General features: G+C 41.8%; 1 protein-coding gene across 7 annotated transcripts in view, besides 1 other annotated feature; it reads left to right on the forward strand.

The window, feature by feature from the left end:
• THBS4 (thrombospondin 4) overlaps window positions 1–19,386 on the forward strand; it is a 91,956-nt gene that overhangs the window by 54,911 nt on the left and 17,659 nt on the right. For all 7 annotated transcript variants that reach the window (XR_007058633.1, NM_001306213.2, NM_001306212.2 and 4 more), the window contains 7 exons: window positions 9,543–9,790; window positions 11,964–12,072; window positions 12,466–12,548; window positions 13,198–13,249; window positions 13,461–13,663; window positions 15,453–15,590; window positions 19,167–19,235. Coding sequence is in view for 6 of the 7 variants with exons in the window: in NM_001306213.2 (NP_001293142.1) it covers window positions 9,543–9,790; window positions 11,964–12,072; window positions 12,466–12,548; window positions 13,198–13,249; window positions 13,461–13,663; window positions 15,453–15,590; window positions 19,167–19,235 (902 nt within the window). In the remaining variant the exon portion in view is untranslated. The remainder of the gene's footprint in view (window positions 1–9,542; window positions 9,791–11,963; window positions 12,073–12,465; window positions 12,549–13,197; window positions 13,250–13,460; window positions 13,664–15,452; window positions 15,591–19,166; window positions 19,236–19,386) is intronic.
• Window positions 8,550–8,750: a silencer, noted in NCBI's record as "peak5305 fragment used in MPRA reporter construct". NCBI's record gives its function as "represses an SCP1 promoter by STARR-seq MPRAs in K562 erythroleukemia cells {active_cell/tissue: K562}" and the evidence as "EXISTENCE:reporter gene assay evidence [ECO:0000049][PMID:32103011]".

The raw sequence follows: 19,386 nt of genomic DNA on the forward strand, positions 1-19,386 counted from the left end.
CAAAAATCCAAGCTAGATGAGGAGATAGCAGAAAAACGCCCACTCTCTTTAGTGAGATTAACTATTCAGGAGCAGATGAATTACACATTGGGATATTTAGTGAAGAAAGTCATAGTGGAGCCACTGTTAGTTCATTTAGAAATCATGGAGAACAGAAAGGTCCTAAAAGACAGGACAGGCAAATGTTTCCATTTTTATAAAGAAGGGAAGGGTGGATTCTGAAAACCACAGGCTACTGAAATTTAGGACAGAGCTCCAGAGGGTTATATGATTATTCATGTATTTTGGGATTGCCCAGAAAAGAAATCTGGGATTTTTTCTAAGACAAAGTGGATTTACTAAGAATAAATCATGCCAAACTTTTTTTTTTCAGTAAAGTTTCAAAGCTGATAGATTAAAAAAACATGCTGTGAGCATAATGTATCTGACTTCAGAAAAGAATTGGATGAAGTCGCTTATTATACCTTTCTAAATAATATAAAAAAGAACGAGCTAGGTAATAGTACCGCTAGGGGTTGCTAAGTCACTGTATAGCAAATTATCTAGTGGTTTTTGACAGGGCTCTGTCTTGGGTATTGAACTGTCCAACATGTCAGTGACTTGAGCAAAGACAGCATTTTATCGTGTTTGCAATTCAAAGCTAGAAAACAGTTGAACATGTTGGATACTATCATTCATATTTACAAAGTCCTACCAGATAATACAATGGGCCAAAATCAATCAGATGAAATTTAACAAGAATAAATGTAAAGCTATCAACTAGGAGTGAAAAGCAAATTGCAGAAGTTCAGGATGTGAGACATCTGTCCTAAGAGTTCTCTAATCAACAACAAATCCTAATCAGTGTTGAGGATAGTGCCTGACACATAATGGATACTCAAAAATATTTGCCGAATGAATGAATGAACAGATACTGTGATGCAACTGTTTATAAAAAGCTCCTTACATTTTAGGTTTCATTAGTGCATACATATGGCCAGGTTAAAGAAGCTAAGAGTCCCACTGTACTCTTAATTGTCCAGGCCACATCTAATACTGTGTCTAGTCCTGGACACATTTCACAAGGACACTGTCAAGTCAAAGATTACCTTGAAAAGAGTCACCAAAAGAGCACCTATCTGGACCCCGTTTTTTTGTTTTGTTTGGTTTTGTTTTTTGTTTTTTGTTTTCTGTTTTTTGTTTTTACCACATTTAAGTAGAAAAGTTAAAGGAACTAGAGAAATGAAGAAGCCAGACAGAAGACATGAAAAATATGAAAATTGCCTTACAATATTTGAAAAAAGGGCTAGGTGCCGTGGCTCATGCCTGTAATCCCAGCACTTTGGGAGTCTGAGGCAGGAGTATCACTTGAGCCCACACATTCAAGACCAGTCTGGGTAAAAAATTAAGAATTTTTTTTTTTTTTTTTTGAGACAGAGTCTCACCCTGTTGCCCAGGCTGGAGTGCAATGGCGCGTCCTCAGCTCACTGCAACTTCCACCTCCCAGGTTCAAGCGATTCTCCTGCCTCAGCCTCCTGAGTAGCTGGGGTTACAGGCAGGCGCCACCACACCCGCCTAATTTTTTTTGTTGTTGTCGTTATCCTTAGTAGAGATGGGGTTTCACCATGTTGGCCAGGCTGGTCTCAAACTCCTGACCACGTGATCCACCCACCTCGGCCTCCCAAAGTGCTGGGATTACAGGCATGAGCCACCGCACCCAGCCAAAAATACATTTTTTAAAAAATTAGCCTGGCTCGCTGGTACATGCCTGTAGTTCCAGCTACTCAGGAGGCTGTGGCAGGAGGATCACTTGAGCCCAGGAGTCTGAGGCAGCAGTGAGCCGTGATCATGCCACTGCACTCCAGCCTGGGCAACAGGGCAAGCTCTTGTTTCAAAAAAATAAAAATAATTAAAAATAATTTTTAAATAATATTTGAAAAATGTCATTTGGAATGAAGATCAGACTAAATCTCTGTCTAGCTCTGAAGAGTAAAATTAGGATCCATTGGTAGAAGACAGAGGAAACAGATATTGGCTCTGTATTAGGAAAATCTTGGAGAGTGATCCAAAAGTGAAATGGACTTCTCTGCAAAGTAATGAGTTCCTTGTTACTGGAAATGTGCTGGTAGAGGCTGCACTTTTATTGAAGGAATTTGTGAAGTGAGATATTAAGCTGGATGACTTATAATGCTAATATTTTGTCATTGTACCAAGGCTAGAGAAGTTTCATAGGCACTTAAGAAATTGCTTTGCACCTCTTTCCTGTAACATGACCTTGGGCTTCTGTGCACACTCACTGCTTTGTTGTCTACTAGATAGTTGCATACTATGATGAATCTCATACTTTTTCAAAACACAAAGTCCTCTGCAGATGTTTAGCATAATTGCTGTGTTTCCTTTCACTAGATAGATGTGTGTGTGTGTGTGTGTGTGTGTGTGTGTGTTACTCTGTATACTTTACATTTATTCAAATTGCCATAAGAAAACTTTGAAACAGACTGCATTTATCACAGCTAGGAGTCACCCAGAGTACTTTCAGAAAAAGCAATTTGCTGATTTACCTTTTGTATGTATTTCCAAAGCACTAAAGTTACAAAGACCTAGTGTATAGGGCATGAAGATGAATAAGCAAAGGCAAACAAGAATATCCATCACAAGAGACATTAATGTCAAGGAGGCAATTTTTAAATGTACAATTATTTAAAAAGAAGAGGAAAGATTGACAATGATGGCTTCCATCATATGTTTAAAAGTGCCAAAGAGCAAAGCCATTTGCCAAACAAAGCAAAGAGCTCCAGACTACCTTTGTGAGTTTGCTGCCTGCAGGCCAGGCCACTCTGGACTCCTTTGCCCAAGCAGACAAAATATTATCATTTCCAGTTCTTTAAAGCTGGCACCCTGCTTCATAACTTTGACATTCAACATATCATAATATTTTTGACTACCAGGTCCACTTTTCAAAAAGCATCTTTTGAAAATTCTTTCTGAAGATAGCAATATTTCAAATCTTCATTGCCTGGGCTTGCTTTTTCATCTCCTGCCAGTCACTGAAATCGTATTTAATCAGACTGGGCTATGTGGTTCCTGTGTCCGGCTGGTCCCAAGCATGGAAATGTAGCTCTTGGACAGTGCCATAAAATCAGGCAATCCTGAGTAGCTGGGGTTACAGGCAGGCGCCACCACGCCCACCTAATTTTTTTTGTTATTGTTGTTATCCTTAGTAGAGATGGGGTTTCACCATGTTGGCCAGGCTGGTCTCAAACTCCTGACCAAATTGTCAATTACACAAAGATGCCAAGTTTAGAGGGAAAGGATTTATATAACCAACAAAGTGTTCCACATTTTAAAAAAGACATAATTGTGAGTAATAAAAGTCAGAGTGGACACACTCTATTTTATCTATTTTTTTTCACTTCCCATAAGTAGTTGTAGTGGTGCCCTCAGATACTATGGGATGTGGGAAAATCAGTAAGATATAGACTTGGCAGCATGAAGGGACTTAAGGTGGTGGGAAGATTAGGGCCAGTCCTGGGATAAGGAGTTGAAACATTATTTAGAATCCACTAGGGAGTTATTGAAGGATTTCATTTGCTTGCTTGCTTTGAGGAGGCAATAACGATCAGAACAGTCCTATAAGAAGTTCAATCTCTCAGTCCAAAAAGTCCGTGCAGAAAGAGACCTAAAGTAGGAAGGGGAGTCAGGAATCTAACAGAGCAGCCCAGAGGTGGAGCAGAGTCAGAGACACCGTTTGAGATCCGAGCACCCACTGACTGACAGCCTTCAGTTCCAATCCAATCTGCACTGCATTCTGGGTACTAACCCTGCACAATAACCAGCTGCAATTGCCAAGAAAACCTGTGCAGCTGGTGGTGAGTGAAAACCAAGGATGTGAACTCAATGTGCTGCAGCTGAAGAAACAGAGTTGTACCTGGAACCGCCCAGTGGGTTCACCTTGCCCACTGCCTACACAGAACCCATTTATCAAGACAGGGGAATTGCAATGGAGAAAGGGTAATTCACGTAGAGCTGGCTGTGTGGGAGACCAGAGTTTTATTATTACTCAAATCAGTCTCCCCAAGCATTCAGGGATCAGAGTTTTTAAAGATAATTTTGCAGGTAGGGGCTTGGGAAGTGGGGAGTGCTGATTGGTCAGGCTGGAAATGAAATCATAGTGGGTCAAAGTTAGGTTTTCTTAACGTCTTCTGTTCCTGGGTGTGATGGCAGAAATGATTGGGCCACATTACTGGTCTGGGTGGTGTCAGCTGATACATCCAGTGCAGGGTCTGCAAAATATCTCAAGCACTGATGTTAGGCTTTACAATAGTGATGTTCCCCCAATTTGGAGGTATTTGGGGAGCAATTTGGGGATTGCTCAGACTCTTGGAGCCAGAGGCTGCATGACCTCTAAACTGTAATTTCTAATCCTGTAGCTAATTTATTAGTCCTGCAAAGGCAGACTGGTCCCCAGGCAAGAAGAGGGTCTTCGGGAAAGGGCTGTTATCAATTTTGCTTCAGAGTCAAAGCATCTACTGAATTCCTTCCCAAAGTTAGTTCGGCCTGTGCCCGGGAATGAACAAGGAAAGCTTAAGTGTTAGAAGCCAGATAGAGTCGGTTAGGTCTGATTTCTCTCACTGTCATAATTTCCTGAGTTATAATTTGGCAAAGACAGTTTCATACCCAGTGACTGTTTTCCTGAGTGCTTTCCAGGGTGGTGGCCAGGCAGAGGTGTGGTCGAGTCGGGAGGTGGGATGGTTCCAGCCTCAGGGGCCTGGCTTCTTCTTCCTTCCTGGAGGGACAAAATGGTCATCTTCCTCCTGCTGTAGTGTTTTCCCCTGCGTTTTGTTCCTTCTGCTATGTGTGGATGTGTTGGGATAAGATAGGGCAAGATGAGCACCGGGAAAGGGGGCTGGCAAGAGGAAGGGAACCCTGTCTGTTCTCTTCCCCTTCCCAGTGATGCTGCCTCTGGAGAAGGTGAGGAAAACTCGCACCCAACAGGCTGCAGGCTCCTGGGGCCAGAGCTTTCTGCTTTTTCCAGACTCCATATGACTGATGTGAAAACGTTGAGTTTCCTGAGCCTGCTTGCCCTCTGGGTAGTCTAACTGCTCTGATAATAAAATAAGTGTAGAGGCACTGAAGTAAAGAATTTGCAATAAAAAAGAAAATGAAAAATGGAAGCCATAAGAGAAATGAGTATTGGATCAAGTGTGAAGAATGGGAAATGTCAAGGCACTTGATAATTTTTCTGCTAACAAACAGACATTGTGAAGGTGGAAGTTTCCATGGTTTTCCTTCCCTGCGTTTTCTTTTGCTATTGTCATGAGATCTAGGGGCATGAGGGATTTGTCATTTGAGTGTTACATTGCAACAAAAAGCAAGGCAGAAGTACAGAATCCACTTAAATGAGAGTATGAACACAATAGGAGGTTTTGCTACCTGGAATTAGATGTTGAATTGCTGCTCTCTAAACTTTATTTTCTATATAAAAAGCTTTAAATACAATCATTTAATTATTCATTTAAAGTTTATATTAACAACATTTAGTGTGCACCTGCTATATGTAAAGTATCCCACTAGGTACTATTCATCAAATTAAAGCCAGCTATTTAGTTATGAAAATAAACCATGGCCCACATACCCTGTGAAGCCCTGTTAAAAGCAGGCAACATGCCCAAGAAAATATGTTTCCTTTGAATTTCACAGAAATCTTAGTTTGAGGAAGAAAAATCAAGAGTTTTTGTTATAAGCCACTATGTGTATGCTCTGAAACAGTTAATGTAGAGAACAGAGGTAGTGGCCATAACTGAAATAAGGAGATAGTGAGTGAGTGTGTGTGTGACCTAATTCAAGTTTGGTGGTCCAAGTGGTATTTTTCTTGGCCTGTAAAAACTACAGGTATTTGCAAAACTGTTCTAAATAGTAATGTAATAGAAGTTTTTTAAAAATTGAGTTAGTGCATATGTTTGGACTCAATTTCTCCCTCTTTTGGTTACTATATATGGTTCTAATTTCCAGCTGTGCAGTTACTATTGTAAATTCTCAACATTAAAAAAATTTTCAGATACAAATTATTTTTATTGATACATACTTTTTACATATTTAAGGGGTACATGTGAATTCTCAACAATTAATATTAAATAAAAGGAGAAGAATTCTGTTCTATCCCAGATTAGAAATACCTTAGAATTTCTATTTGTGTCTATTTCCCTCCATTCCATTATTTTCTTCCTCTTCATACCACATTTATATACGTCTTACCATTTATTTATATTTATTTAATACTTTACTTCAGGAAACTTAGTATTGTTCTGGAATCAGAAAGCCCTTCTAGCTAGTCTGTCTTGCCAGGTCTTTCCGATTCTTCTCCCTCAAGAAGCAAGTGGTGGTGACCACGTCGACATAAGAGATTTCCCGTCTGACTCCTCCCACCATCTGTGTAGGTCACAGAACCTCACGCCAACTGGCTCTCTTCAGACTGTGGTCAACTGGAAAATCGAGTCAGATTTCAGAAGGGTGGGAAAATGAACCTAGAAAGTCTAATGTGGAGAAAGCCTTAAAATATATCCTTCATGTTCCACAATAGTGATTATTATCTTTGGCGATACTGCAACATAAATAGGTATTCTTGGCTAGTTCATCTCTGGCGGCACCATCTTGGCATTTACACTCTACAGAAAAGGTACCTGAGGAGAAAGATGGTCCAAGTTACTTGCCACAGATCACACAGATTAACAGCAGCACAGTCTGGGTGTATATGTGTAATATATATCTTTTTATTATTTTTATATACAAGTAATGGTTGTTTCTTGTAGAAAAGTTAAAACAATGAAGATGAGCAGGAAGAAAAAAATACCATCCAAACACCCAGCAAATAACCATACTAATGTAGACATATTTTCTTCTAATCTTCTAGGTATGTATGTATACATATATGTACATATATATACACATGCACACTTTTTTCTAAACCCATATTGACCTATAACCTCCTTTTTTTTTTACTTAACAAAATACTGGGAATGTCTTTTTGTGTTTTTAATATTCAGCTATTCCATAGTATTCCATTTTATAATTATACTGTAATTTAAGTAGCCAGCCCTCTCCTTTTGGACATATATGTTGTGCCAAGTGTTGATTACAATAAGTATTTCTGAAATGAACATTCTCACCCATACATCTTGGTGCTGCTTTTTTTTTTTTTTCTATAACCCAGGACAGTGCTGAAGTGCTTCTTTTCTTTAATTTCCTCAGTTTTAGTTCCTAGAAGTGGCAATGCTGGGCTGTTGGGTTTACACATGTTTAAGGTTCTGATGCATGTGACTAAATTACCCTCCAGAAAAGTTCTGCTTTAAGTTCTACTTAACGCTTTCCCACCCTGGGACAGCTGAAGACTGGCCAGAGCTTTGCAGCTGCAATGATGTGTTTACCACCTCCCTTATCCAGCAACATTTGCAATTAGCCTCCGACCTTGTTCCTGGGATTGTTTCCGGTGAAAATTAGCCATGCCTGGCTAATTTTTGTATTTTTAGTAGAGACAGGGTTTCACCTTATTGGTCAGGCTGGTCTTGAACTCCTGACCTCGTGATCTGCCCACCTCGGCCTCCCAAAGTGCTGGGTTTGGGAATGGTACCTGTGGATGCACCTAGAGGTGTGTTTAGACACTAGCTGAAATCACTTTGGTCTTTCTAGCAAACCTTAGCCAATGGGCTCCACTCACAAAGGGTCAGCTTCCAAGAGCAGATTTTAGCTCAGGGCCTCTTATGTTCAGGACAATAATGGAGTAAAAAAACAAGGCTGAAAACCAGAAGATATGTGGGCTTAAGCAGATATGTGAATAGCTACCCACATAGGAAAAACAAAACAAAACAAAACAAAAACAAAAACAGAAAATAAGGTGGGAGTCCTTCTTTTACAACCATGGATACCTTTTCTTTTCTTTTCTTTTTTTTTTTTTTTGAGACAGGATCGCTCTTTTGCCCAGGCTGGAGTGCAGTGGTTCGATCATGGCTCACTGCAGCCTCAATCCCCCAGGCTCAAGCAATCCTCCACCTCAGTGTCCCAAGTAGCTGGGACTACAAGTATGTGCCACCACACCTGGCCTTTTTTTTTTTTTTTTTTTTGAAATGGAGTCTTGCTCTGTCACCCAGGCTGGAGTGCAGTGGTGTGATCTTGGCTCACTGCAACCTCCACCTCCCAGGTTCAAGCAATTCTCCTGCCTCAGCCTCCTGAGTAGCTGGGACTATGGGCGAACACCACCATGCCTGGCTAATTTTTGTATTTTTACTAGAGACGGGGTTTCACCATATTGGTCAGGCTGGTCTTGAACTCCTGACCTCATGATCTGCCCACCTCAGCCTCCCAAAGTGCTGGGATTACAGGCGTGAGCCACTGCGCCCAGCCTGGCCAATTTTTTTAAATTTACTTTTTGTAGAGATGAGGTCTCACTATGTTGCCTAGGTTGATTTCAAACTCCTGAACTCAAGCGATTCTCCCACCTCGGCCTCCCAAAGTGCTCGGATTACAGGCATAAGCCTCTGTGCCCAGCCAATACCTCTTATTATCTAACTGAGCATTGTTAAATTCAGGGATGGGTTGCTGAGGGACGATATGACAGATTACACTCGATTTGATGTGTGCTGACTAAGGCCTGTGCATGCCTAGCATTGCTTTAGTCATGGAATGAATCACACTCAGGTTCAGATTCTAGTCCTGCCACTTCCTATGTCCTTGAGCAAGTGCCTTCATTTATCTGAGACTCACTTTCCTTGTCCATAGTTATTCCAATTGCATTTGGTTGCAGTGAGTAGAAATTAAGTATTTAGGCTGGGCACAGTGGCTCACACCTGTAATCCCAGCACTTTGGGAGGCCGAGGCAGGTGGATCGCTTGAGCTCGGGATTTCGAGACCAGCCTGGGCAACATGGCAAAACCCTGTCTCTACAAAAAATATATAAATTAGCTGGGTGTGGTGGCTCACACCTGTGGTCCCAACTACTTAGGAGGCTAAGACAGAAGGATGACTTGAGCCTAGGAGGCAGAGGTTGCAGTGAGCTGAGATCGTCCCACTGCACTGCAGCCTGGGGGACAGAGTGAGATCCTGTCTTTAAAAAAAAAAAAAAGGGAAGAAATCAAGTATTTAAAGCACCTAAGGACAGCCCCCAGCCCCATGGTAGTGCTCAGCAAGTGTTTGGTGAATGAATGGATTCATGCTCTACGCTTATATAGAGTTTACTTTGCTTTCAGATTGGGTTCTGCTTGCTCATTGTACTTATCACTATATGAGAATTGTATTGTTTATTTTCAAATTTGCCACATATTGTCTGTTTCTCCATCAACACAAAACATTCTCAGGAGAAGAGTTGGTTCCCAGTGCCTGAAAACAGTGCCTAGCACACAGAAGATGGTGAATCAATATTTGTGGTTATTTCTCACTCACATTCCGTCCAGCAACCCAGTCTTGTTACCAGGAGGCTGTTCAGCACAGGACACTTATCACACCATTTGTTGACCCTCCACTTCCCCCTCTGCCACTTATCACACCATTGGTTGACCTGTGCTTGCTTCCAGCCATCCTCCGTTACCTGAAGAACGATGGGAAGGTGCATTTGGTGGTTTTCAACAACCTGCAGCTGGCAGACGGAAGGCGGCACAGGATCCTCCTGAGGCTGAGCAATTTGCAGCGAGGGGCCGGCTCCCTAGAGCTCTACCTGGACTGCATCCAGGTGGATTCCGTTCACAATCTCCCCAGGGCCTTTGCTGGCCCCTCCCAGAAACCTGAGACCATTGAATTGAGGACTTTCCAGAGGAAGCCACAGGTAGGAACCCACAAACCATTCTCTGAAGTGGAAAAATGAGCTGCCAGTGCCTAGGGAGTGCAGAGGAGCGTGCTGAGAAATTCCTGCTGCAGGTCAGTGGGTCTAATGCCGCTTGCACATCAGAATCACCTGCGGAGCTTGAAAAGCAAGTGATAGGGGGCTGCCCCTAGGACAAACTGAATCCGAATCTGTCGGGTGGGGCCTAGCATATTTTTATGCTAGGGGCATCAGCATATTTTTAAAATACCAATTCTAATGTGATGCCGAAATTGAGAGCTTGTGCTTTCAATGATAAGTAGAGACTCTGGATACAATTGTAACGTTGGAAAGGAAGGGCAAAAGTAAAAATAACTACCTCAGGGTGATGACATTATCTATTTTCAATTTTCTATAATGAAAATAAAAAAGAATGATTAGAAACTGCCAAGCTTTCATAACAGCATTTTCACAGGTCTTGTCAGAACATCCACTAACAAAAGGGAGCTTAGCTTAGCTGCATTTGGTCTTAAGATACCATCACCTCTGTCTTCTGTTTTACTCCAGGTTGATGGTATTTTTATTATTCTGTCATTGCACCTGCTGTAGAAATTGCCACATACATTTCTTTTAGAATTTTGTGCTAGGCAGTGCTTTGTTTTCTATAAAGAACTAGTATTCTTTGTCCTTTCCAATAATGTATAACTGGTTAAAGTTCCTGAATTTCATCCGCTATATAAGCCAATGTCAAATCAGTAACTATGTTCTTCTGTAATGGTCCATATTATTTTTGTCTGCTACCTCTCAATCCTCACTTTCCATTTGTTAATTCATTATATTAATATATGCTTTAGTTACAAGCTACTCTGAGCCCTTTGTACAGAGAAGCAGGGTGTAAGCAATAATTTCCATTGCAAGTAGGAATGCTGTGCAGTTTTAGATAGTAATATAAAAACTATGAATCTGATCCTAGAAGTTTTGCCCTTGAACAACAGGAAGCATTTTTAATCAGAAATTCCAAGAAAGCTAAAATCCGAGGTTTTTGGGGATTTTTGTTTTTCAGTCATATATAGAGAGATTTTTAATGTAGATTTACATATGGAAAAAAATTAATAGAAAGATATGCTAAACTCTCTTTCTGCATCCCCATAGTAGCGCATGTAATCAGAATGACAGTCAGAAATTGTGTCACTGCTTATTTCAGAAATTAGTGTTCACCACCAAATAAGTCAATTTCTAAAAGTCAGGACTCACCCCTGACAAAGTCATCAGAAACTGTACTTACTGGAATTTTCTCAGAAGCTCTACCTCCTTAGACCATGGTAGTGATCACAGTGGCTCAGTCTCATAATCACCTACTCACTCATTCAGTCAGTCAACAAATGGGCACATTCTAGGCATTAGTGCTACCATGGTGGGCAAAGCCAGTCATTTTCCTGACTCTGCGGAGATTATAGTCTGATGTCCAATACAATATGTGTTAAATAGCACATGTTGCCTAAATCTTAGCTAAATCAAAAAGCAGAATTCCTCTGAAAATCCTTAGCTGTGCTCATTTCTAAAATAAGGATGATGACTTCACTTTGGCAGTTAACATAAATGTTTTGTTGTATATAGATATAATAAAGGTGATTGCAAGCAGCATTCACAAGATAAAAGGGCAAGGACATTGACTTTTTGACTAACAATGAATAATATCAACCCGTAATATAAAAATATGATGCCAACTACCTAATGATCATAGAAGATATCATTTATTCATTCTCATATCCCAAAGAAGTCAGAGGCTTTGCTAGACCCTTGAGCCAAGACAACCAAAAAATAATACTGTTTAAAATTGGGGTTAACACCTTATTTATTATTATCTAAATTCCATAAACAAATTACAGACAATTCTTAAGAGGCTCCTGCCACAAAATAACTCCTTTACCATGTAGGAAAAGAGCCTTTCGTTTTCTCAGCTGTCTTGGTGACAATGCCAGCATTTTCCTAGGCTACTGGCTACTTACATATTCACTTTAGTCAAAAAGATAGGGCTGGCAGGCTTTAGGAAAAAATGTGATCCTACAAAATTATGTAAGATGTCAGAGGGTCCAAGTATACAGGACTACTTGATTATGAAAATTGCGTGAGTAGGCAAGCACATTGGCTTTTGAACAGTGTCAGCAATCTGTGGTATGAATGTGATTTCTTCCAGGACTTCTTGGAAGAGCTGAAGCTGGTGGTGAGAGGCTCACTGTTCCAGGTGGCCAGCCTGCAAGACTGCTTCCTGCAGCAGAGTGAGCCACTGGCTGCCACAGGCACAGGTGTGGGCTCTTGGGCAGTTTGCATGCCTTCATCAACACAAACTCCAAAGACCCTGAATAGGCTGGGTCCCATCACCGAAAAGTGGGACTGTCAACAGAGCAGCCCAACAAAACGTATCTATGAAAATCAGTCTCTTGAACAAAATCCAGGGCACAGAATATTTTCATTATGCTTTTATTTTTATGATTCACATGGAATTTAGACTTAGTCAGTGGCATCATTATCATTATTTTTTTTAGCTGAATTAAAGAAATTACCCCAAATTAAATTCAAAGATTCTGGGTTTTTGAATCATCTTGTCAGGATGATTTCCTGGGGAATAATTTGGTTTTGAGTCACTTAGAAATGACCATCACTGGCTGAAAACTCTTTGCCTTTTGCTGTTCCTACAGGGGACTTTAACCGGCAGTTCTTGGGTCAAATGACACAATTAAACCAACTCCTGGGAGAGGTGAAGGACCTTCTGAGACAGCAGGTAACAAGCGGGACATATCATCAGAAAAGCCCTCGTCTTCTTAGAGCAGCTCCCCACAAGCTAGTGGAGCTGCAGGCCTGCCCAGGCACGGGGGCAGCCTCTGAGCCAGATCTCCGGGGGCCCACGCAGCCCCGCACGCCAGGGCTCTGCTGGAAGTTCTCTGGAAATGGGGTCCAAGCTCGTGATGAACACACCATGGCTCTAAGCAGAGCGGGAGCCATCAAGGGCTGCTAACGCTACTGTAAGAAGTGTTACAGAGAGCCAGGTGCGGTGCCTCATGACTGTAATCCCAGCACTTTGGGAGGCTGAGGTGGGCAGATCACGAGGTGAGGAGCTCGAGACCAGCCTGAACAACATGGTGAAACCCCGTCTCTACTAAAAATACAAAAATTAGCCAGGCATGGTGGTGCATGCCTATAATCCCAGCTACTCAGGAGGCTGAGGCAGGAGAATTGCTGGAACCCAGGAGGCGGAGGTTGTAGTGAGCTGAGATCGTGCCACTGCACTCCAGCCTGGGCGACAGACTGAGACTGTCTCAAAAAAAAAAAAAAAAAAAGTGTTACATAGATAGCTCCACATGGATTCTTTCATTCCTGGATGATATCAGGCATTCCTTTTCAATCCTTTTTTCCCCTTCTCATTTTTAAAGGTTAAGGAAACATCATTTTTGCGAAACACCATAGCTGAATGCCAGGCTTGCGGTAAGTGCTTTTCTAGTAATGGGCTCGCCTGAGTTGGATGATGCAGGCTGATGAAGGGCTTGCGGTGAGGCTGTGTTGACCGCAGTTTCTGAAGGTCTACCACATAGTTGGAGGGGAGGGAGGAAAAGTTCAATAGGAAACCAAATTTTGTTTTGCCTTCTGTATATCTTCCTGGCGGTGAATACGCCTGTGGATGATTGTTTTTCTCTAGGTCCTCTCAAGTTTCAGTCTCCGACCCCAAGCACGGTGGTGCCCCCGGCTCCCCCTGCACCGCCAACACGCCCACCTCGTCGGTGTGACTCCAACCCATGTTTCCGAGGTGTCCAATGTACCGACAGTAGAGATGGCTTCCAGTGTGGGCCCTGCCCCGAGGGCTACACAGGAAACGGGATCACCTGTATTGATGTTGATGAGGTAAAAGTTCACTTAGACTGGGAGGGGATCCCTAAGTATCCTCCTCACCCTGCAGCTTTTGGAAAAAGAAGCCAAGCTGATGATTAAGGGCTGACTTGGGCTGTCCTCCAGGCTCCATTGAAACCACTTGCTTGGAGACCCTGAGACAAGGGATGGCGGAAGGAGACATGACCCAAGGTTATGGCTGCGTTTGTCATTTTTCCTCTGTGTTTCCAACTCTTCTACTGGTCCATTGGCTACAGTGCTGAGGTTTCTGCTTTACACGCTGACATTTGCATTGGTTATTTCTCTTAAATAGTCTGTGCTACAATTTTGTTTTTCCCCCACTTTTGCAAATGTGGAAGGGGAGGATTTTTCTAAGGGTATATTTCAGGAGTCACCGTGGATTTCTTCAGGCTTCCTAAAATAAAGGAGCAGAGGGGAATCTCACACCAACAAGGGGGAGGCCCTGTAACCTATGAGTAACTAAACGTGCCCAGGGAGGGCCCCAGAGGAGGCACATCCAGCAAATACCAGCTATTTGACCGGCTGGCAGAGCCCCAGAAGAGACTGTTTCAAGACCCTGGTTAGGCAGGCCAGCCTAGTGGCTGAAGCCTGCAATCTCAACACTTTGGGAGGCTGAGGCAGGAGGATCACATGAGCCCAGGAGTTTGAGACCAGCCCGGGCAACAAGACAAAACCCTATCTCTACAAAAAATATGATAATTACTGGGGCATGGTGGCATGTGCCTGTGGTCCCAGCTACTCTGGAAGATGAAGCAGGAGGATTGCCTGAGGCAGGAGGTTGAGGCTGCAGTGAGCCATGATGGCACCACTGCACTCTAGCCTGGGCACAACCCTGTCTCAAAAAAACAAACAAAAAAAAACATGGTTAGGCAATCACCAGTCCAGTTGCAAAGCAATGTTCATAGCAGGTAGCAAGGCTGCCACCAAAATGTGCCTTCAATGTGCCTTTCTCCTCCCACCCAGCCCAAGGAAGGCTGAAAGGAGAAGCGCAGGGGAGAGATGCAGGTACATAACTTAGGCACACTGACTCCCTGGGGCTCCTGCAGGCCCATGGTAATGTTAGTAACACTCAGCTGATTACCTTCGCTAGTAGTAAGCAATTAAGACGGTCTCTAGTAATCCCTCAATTGGAGAAACAACTGCATACATTTCACTGAACTGCATCTGGTTTTTATCTGTGAGGTAGAATTTTCCTCTTTCTGAAAGGGCAGGAAGTGGTCATGTTTTTTACATTAGTTGAAGTGGTTTAAAAAAAACAAAAAACAATCTCCAAGATTCCTAGAGCCTTGGAATAGCATGGACTTGACAGGACATGGAGGCAGGCACAGGCCCTGAGGGATTACATGGTAATGAAGAGGCACCGGCCCTGGCTTTGCCTTCTCGAGGTCTTTCTGATTGAGTAGTTGGTTTGCTGATGCTTTTGGAGGCATCTAACAGCCAGCTAAGTGGTCCAGGGACATAGTCCTTTCACAGAGATTTGCAAATTCCATGTCAGAATATCAGGGAGCTTATTACATTGAGAGGTAGGCTGGTTAATATCAAGGACCCTTTCAACATGCATGTGCCATTATTCTACAGCACAGCAAAGCCTACTAAAAAGCAACCTCAGATTGTGTGGTCAGGGATTCAGTGGGTAACTGGAGTTGGAAGCCTTTATTTCCTTTTATTATTTTTTCCACCAAAAGATAGTTAAATGACTAAACAAGTATGTGCAAATAGATGAAGAAAAGTTTGAGAGTGTTTTCTCGGTGTGGCTAAAGACTTTGAACTTTTTTGTCTCCAGTGCAAATACCATCCCTGCTACCCGGGCGTGCACTGCATAAATTTGTCTCCTGGCTTCAGATGTGACGCCTGCCCAGTGGGCTTCACAGGGCCCATGGTGCAGGGTGTTGGGATCAGTTTTGCCAAGTCAAACAAGCAGGTAGGCTGAAGTCATGGTTTCTATTCATTTCTCATCTTAACAAAACAACTGTGGTTGGTTCCCACCTCTTTGGTATAAACCTTTACCTCCATGAGCAGTCAAGGCCATGTGGAATGTCATGGTGCAAAATGAGCAAATTAGGAAGTTTTTCAACCATTTCTGAGTATTTACATTTATAAAATCTAGAAGGGAGGAAGCTTTTAAGAGGGGATAATAGAGTATCACTAGAAAAACAGTAAATGGGGTAATATGGCTATTGGCATAATTTCAGTCTTATTTTGTTGATAGCTGTTGAGCATTTTGTCCTGCAGAATAAGTTGAGAACCACGGAGACAAAAGCTTTGAAAAATTAGGTCACTTTTGTAGAGTCATTGTTGCCAATCGAAGCTGTTTCAGAGATGAGGGGATTTTAAGAGTAGAAATAATCCCCCAAGGCAACCTCCCCTTTTTCTTATGTAAGCTATAAATTGCCATAAAGCACTTGAGTACTTCTTGACAGTCTCCATTTATTTCCCAATGCTCTACTATATTCTGGTCATTATTTAACTGACTGACTGTGAAATTCTTTTTGATGTTTTTAGCCCTTAAAAATGGTTGTTCTATAAATATATTTTACTACCTTAGGGAAATTATTAGCTTTGAAGAAGGGCAGGGGTTTATTATTTCCTAGCTGCCTATCAAAGGGTTCTAGAGGGCATGATTTTTTTAAGTTATTGTTATACTTTAAGTTCTAGGGTACATATGCACAACGTGCAGGTTTGTTACATATGTATACATGTGCCATACTGGTGTGCTGCACCTGTTAACTTGTCATTTACATTAGGTATATCTCCTAATGCTATCCTTCCCCCCTCCCCCTACCCCATGACAGGCCCTGGTGTGTGACATTCCCCACCCTGTGTCCAAGTGTTCTCATTGTTCAATTCCCAACTAAGAGTGAGAACATGCGGTGTTTGGTTTTCTATCCTTGCGATAGTTTGCTCAGAATGATGGTTTCTAGCTTCATCCATGTCCCTACAAAGGACATGAACTCATCCTTTTTTATGGCTGCATAATATTCCATGGTGTATATGTGCCACATTTTCTTAATCCAGTCTATCATTGATGGACATTTGGGTTGGTTCCAAGTCTTTGCTATTGTGAATAGTGCCACAATAAATATACGTGTCCATGTGTCTTTATAGCAGCATGATTTATAAGCCTTTGGGTATATGCCCAGTAATGGGATGGCTGGGTCAAATCGTATTTCTAGTTCTAGATCCTTGAGGAATCGCCACACTGTCTTCCACAATGGCTGAACTAGTTTACAGTCCCACCAACAGTGTAAAAGTGTTCCTATTTCTCCACATTCTCTTCAGCACCTATTGTTTCCTGACTTTTTAATGATCGCCATTCTAACTGGTGTGAGAAGGCATCTCATTGTGGTTTTGATTTGCATTTCTCTGATGGCCAGTAATGGTGAGCATTTTTTCATGTGTCTGTTGGCTGCATAACTGTCTTGAGAAGTGTCTGTTCATATCCTTTGCCCACTTTTTGATGGGGTTGTTTGATTTTTTTCCTATAAATTTGTTTAAGTTAAGTTCTTTGTAGATTCTGGATATTAGCCCTTTGTCAGATGGATAGATTGTAAAAATGTTCTCCCATTCTGTAGGTTGCCTGTTCACTCTGATGGTAGTTTCTTTTGCTGTGCAGAAGCTCTTGAGTTTAATTAGATCCCATTTGTCAATTTTGGCTTTTGTTGCCATTGCTTTAGGTGTTTTAATCATGAAGTCCTTGGAGGGCATGATTTTTTAGACTAGAAAAGGGAGGCCAGCTAGACATATAGGAATGATAAGAAGCTGTTAAGAGTCCTCTAAAGACAAAATCTCTAAGAACAAACCAAGGAAACATAAGGTACTTGGTGTAAGGTAGTAAGGAGCACTTCTCAATAGATTTCCAGTAACAAGGCAGACAGAACTGAAGTGGAAGGGAGCCACCTTGCTAAATTTAACAGCAAATGTTACTGCATTCCAAAGTCAAAGAAAATAAAAGGAAATGGCGCAGTGTCCAGAAACAAAGAGAAAACTCAAAGCCAGAACTGTGACTAGAGCTGATGCCACAGCAGATCCTGGGAGGTGGGAGTTGGGTCCAGGTCTTAGTAACAGGGACCTGGCTTTTACCACCTGTGTGGAGTGGATGCAGCAATGTAGTCTGGGAACTTTGGAAAGGCCTAACACCCCTGCATAAGTCCAGGACCCTCAGAGAACCACCTTATCAATTACAAGGAGACAGGAAACCTTTAGTAGCCCTAAGAAACAACAAAGAAGCTCTTTAGCTTTAATACATGGTTGACAAAAATGAAAATTGCCTACAGCAAATCAAAGCACCACACTTGTACCACATACAGTTATGAGTTCCAAATCTGTTATACATATAATGCAGAAACACAAGCCAAAAAATTAAAATAATAACCAGCCATGAAGAAGTGAAATCCCCAGGGCTCTGACTCAAGTCAAAGGCACACCACTCTGTAAAGACATGCCAAAATTCAGGGCCAATGGAATGCCCACAGGCAAAATTTGGGCTACTGAAGATATGCTTATAAACAAAAATGGCAGTTTATATAAAGAAACTCCCATGAGGAAACATGATAAATGCAAAGTAAATATAAAAAGGTAAAGAAATAAATACCATACTTAAAGAATAGGGCAATGCCCCAACTGGGCAACATGGCAAAATCCCATCCCTACAAAAAATACACACAAAAAAATTAGCCGGGTGTGATGGTGCATGCCTGTGGTCCCAGCAACCTTGGGAGGTTGAGGTGGGAGGATCACCTGAGTCTGGGAGGTCGAGGCTGCCGTGAGCTGTGATTGTGCCACTGCACTCCAGCCTGAGCGACAGAGCAAGACCCTGTCTCAACAACAACAACAAAAAAATATAGGGCAATGTGAGAAAAACAGATAAGTTTGTAAAACAGACAAATAAAACTTTTATCAATGGAAAATCGTTGAACTTAATAGATGGGCAAAACAGATTAGACACAGCTTAGCAGGGAGTTCATGGGCTAGGAGGTGAACCTAAAGAAATCATCTAGAATGCAGCACAGAGAAATAACGACATGGAGCATATAAACAAGAGGTTAGGAGTCAAAAGAAGATATTAACAAGAAAGTTCGATATTCATCCAATTGTAGTTCCAAAGAAAGACTAGAAAGCAGTCGGGGGAAGCTGAGAATGTTCCAGAATTGAAAAAAGCTAAGAATCCTCATTTAGGAGAACTGCATTGATTCCCAAGCAAGATTAAAAAAAAAAATAAAACTTTCCTAACCTAAAAAGGTGATGGAACAGATGAATTATACAAGTTGTCTTTTCTGAATAACTTTCAATACCATGAAAGCAATTCTCATTTGCAATTAGATTAAGTACAAACTGGTACAAATGCAAGGGAGATGGCACAAATAACCCTCAGATTACCATTCTACCCGAAATTCCGCATCTTCACTTCACACAAAGATAGCAAAACAAAGGAGATTTATTTGCATTTCTATTTAAGCAGCATGTCTCGCTAAACTTTCTTTGAACTTTTCTGCACTAGGTCTGCACTGACATTGATGAGTGTCGAAATGGAGCGTGCGTTCCCAACTCGATCTGCGTTAATACTTTGGTAAGTATTTCTCACAGCTGTTGTTATCAAAGCAGAACCGGTTATTAAAACAAGTGTATGTTTATAGATCATAGCTTCCAAACACACCTAGAACATGTGGGCATAATATATTTGATTGGCAGAATAAAGGCAAAAGTTTGTGCTGAAAAAG

The sequence above is a fragment of the Homo sapiens genome, chromosome 5 (genome assembly GCF_000001405.40).
Source record: "Homo sapiens chromosome 5, GRCh38.p14 Primary Assembly".
Taxonomy (NCBI): Eukaryota; Metazoa; Chordata; class Mammalia; order Primates; family Hominidae; genus Homo; species Homo sapiens.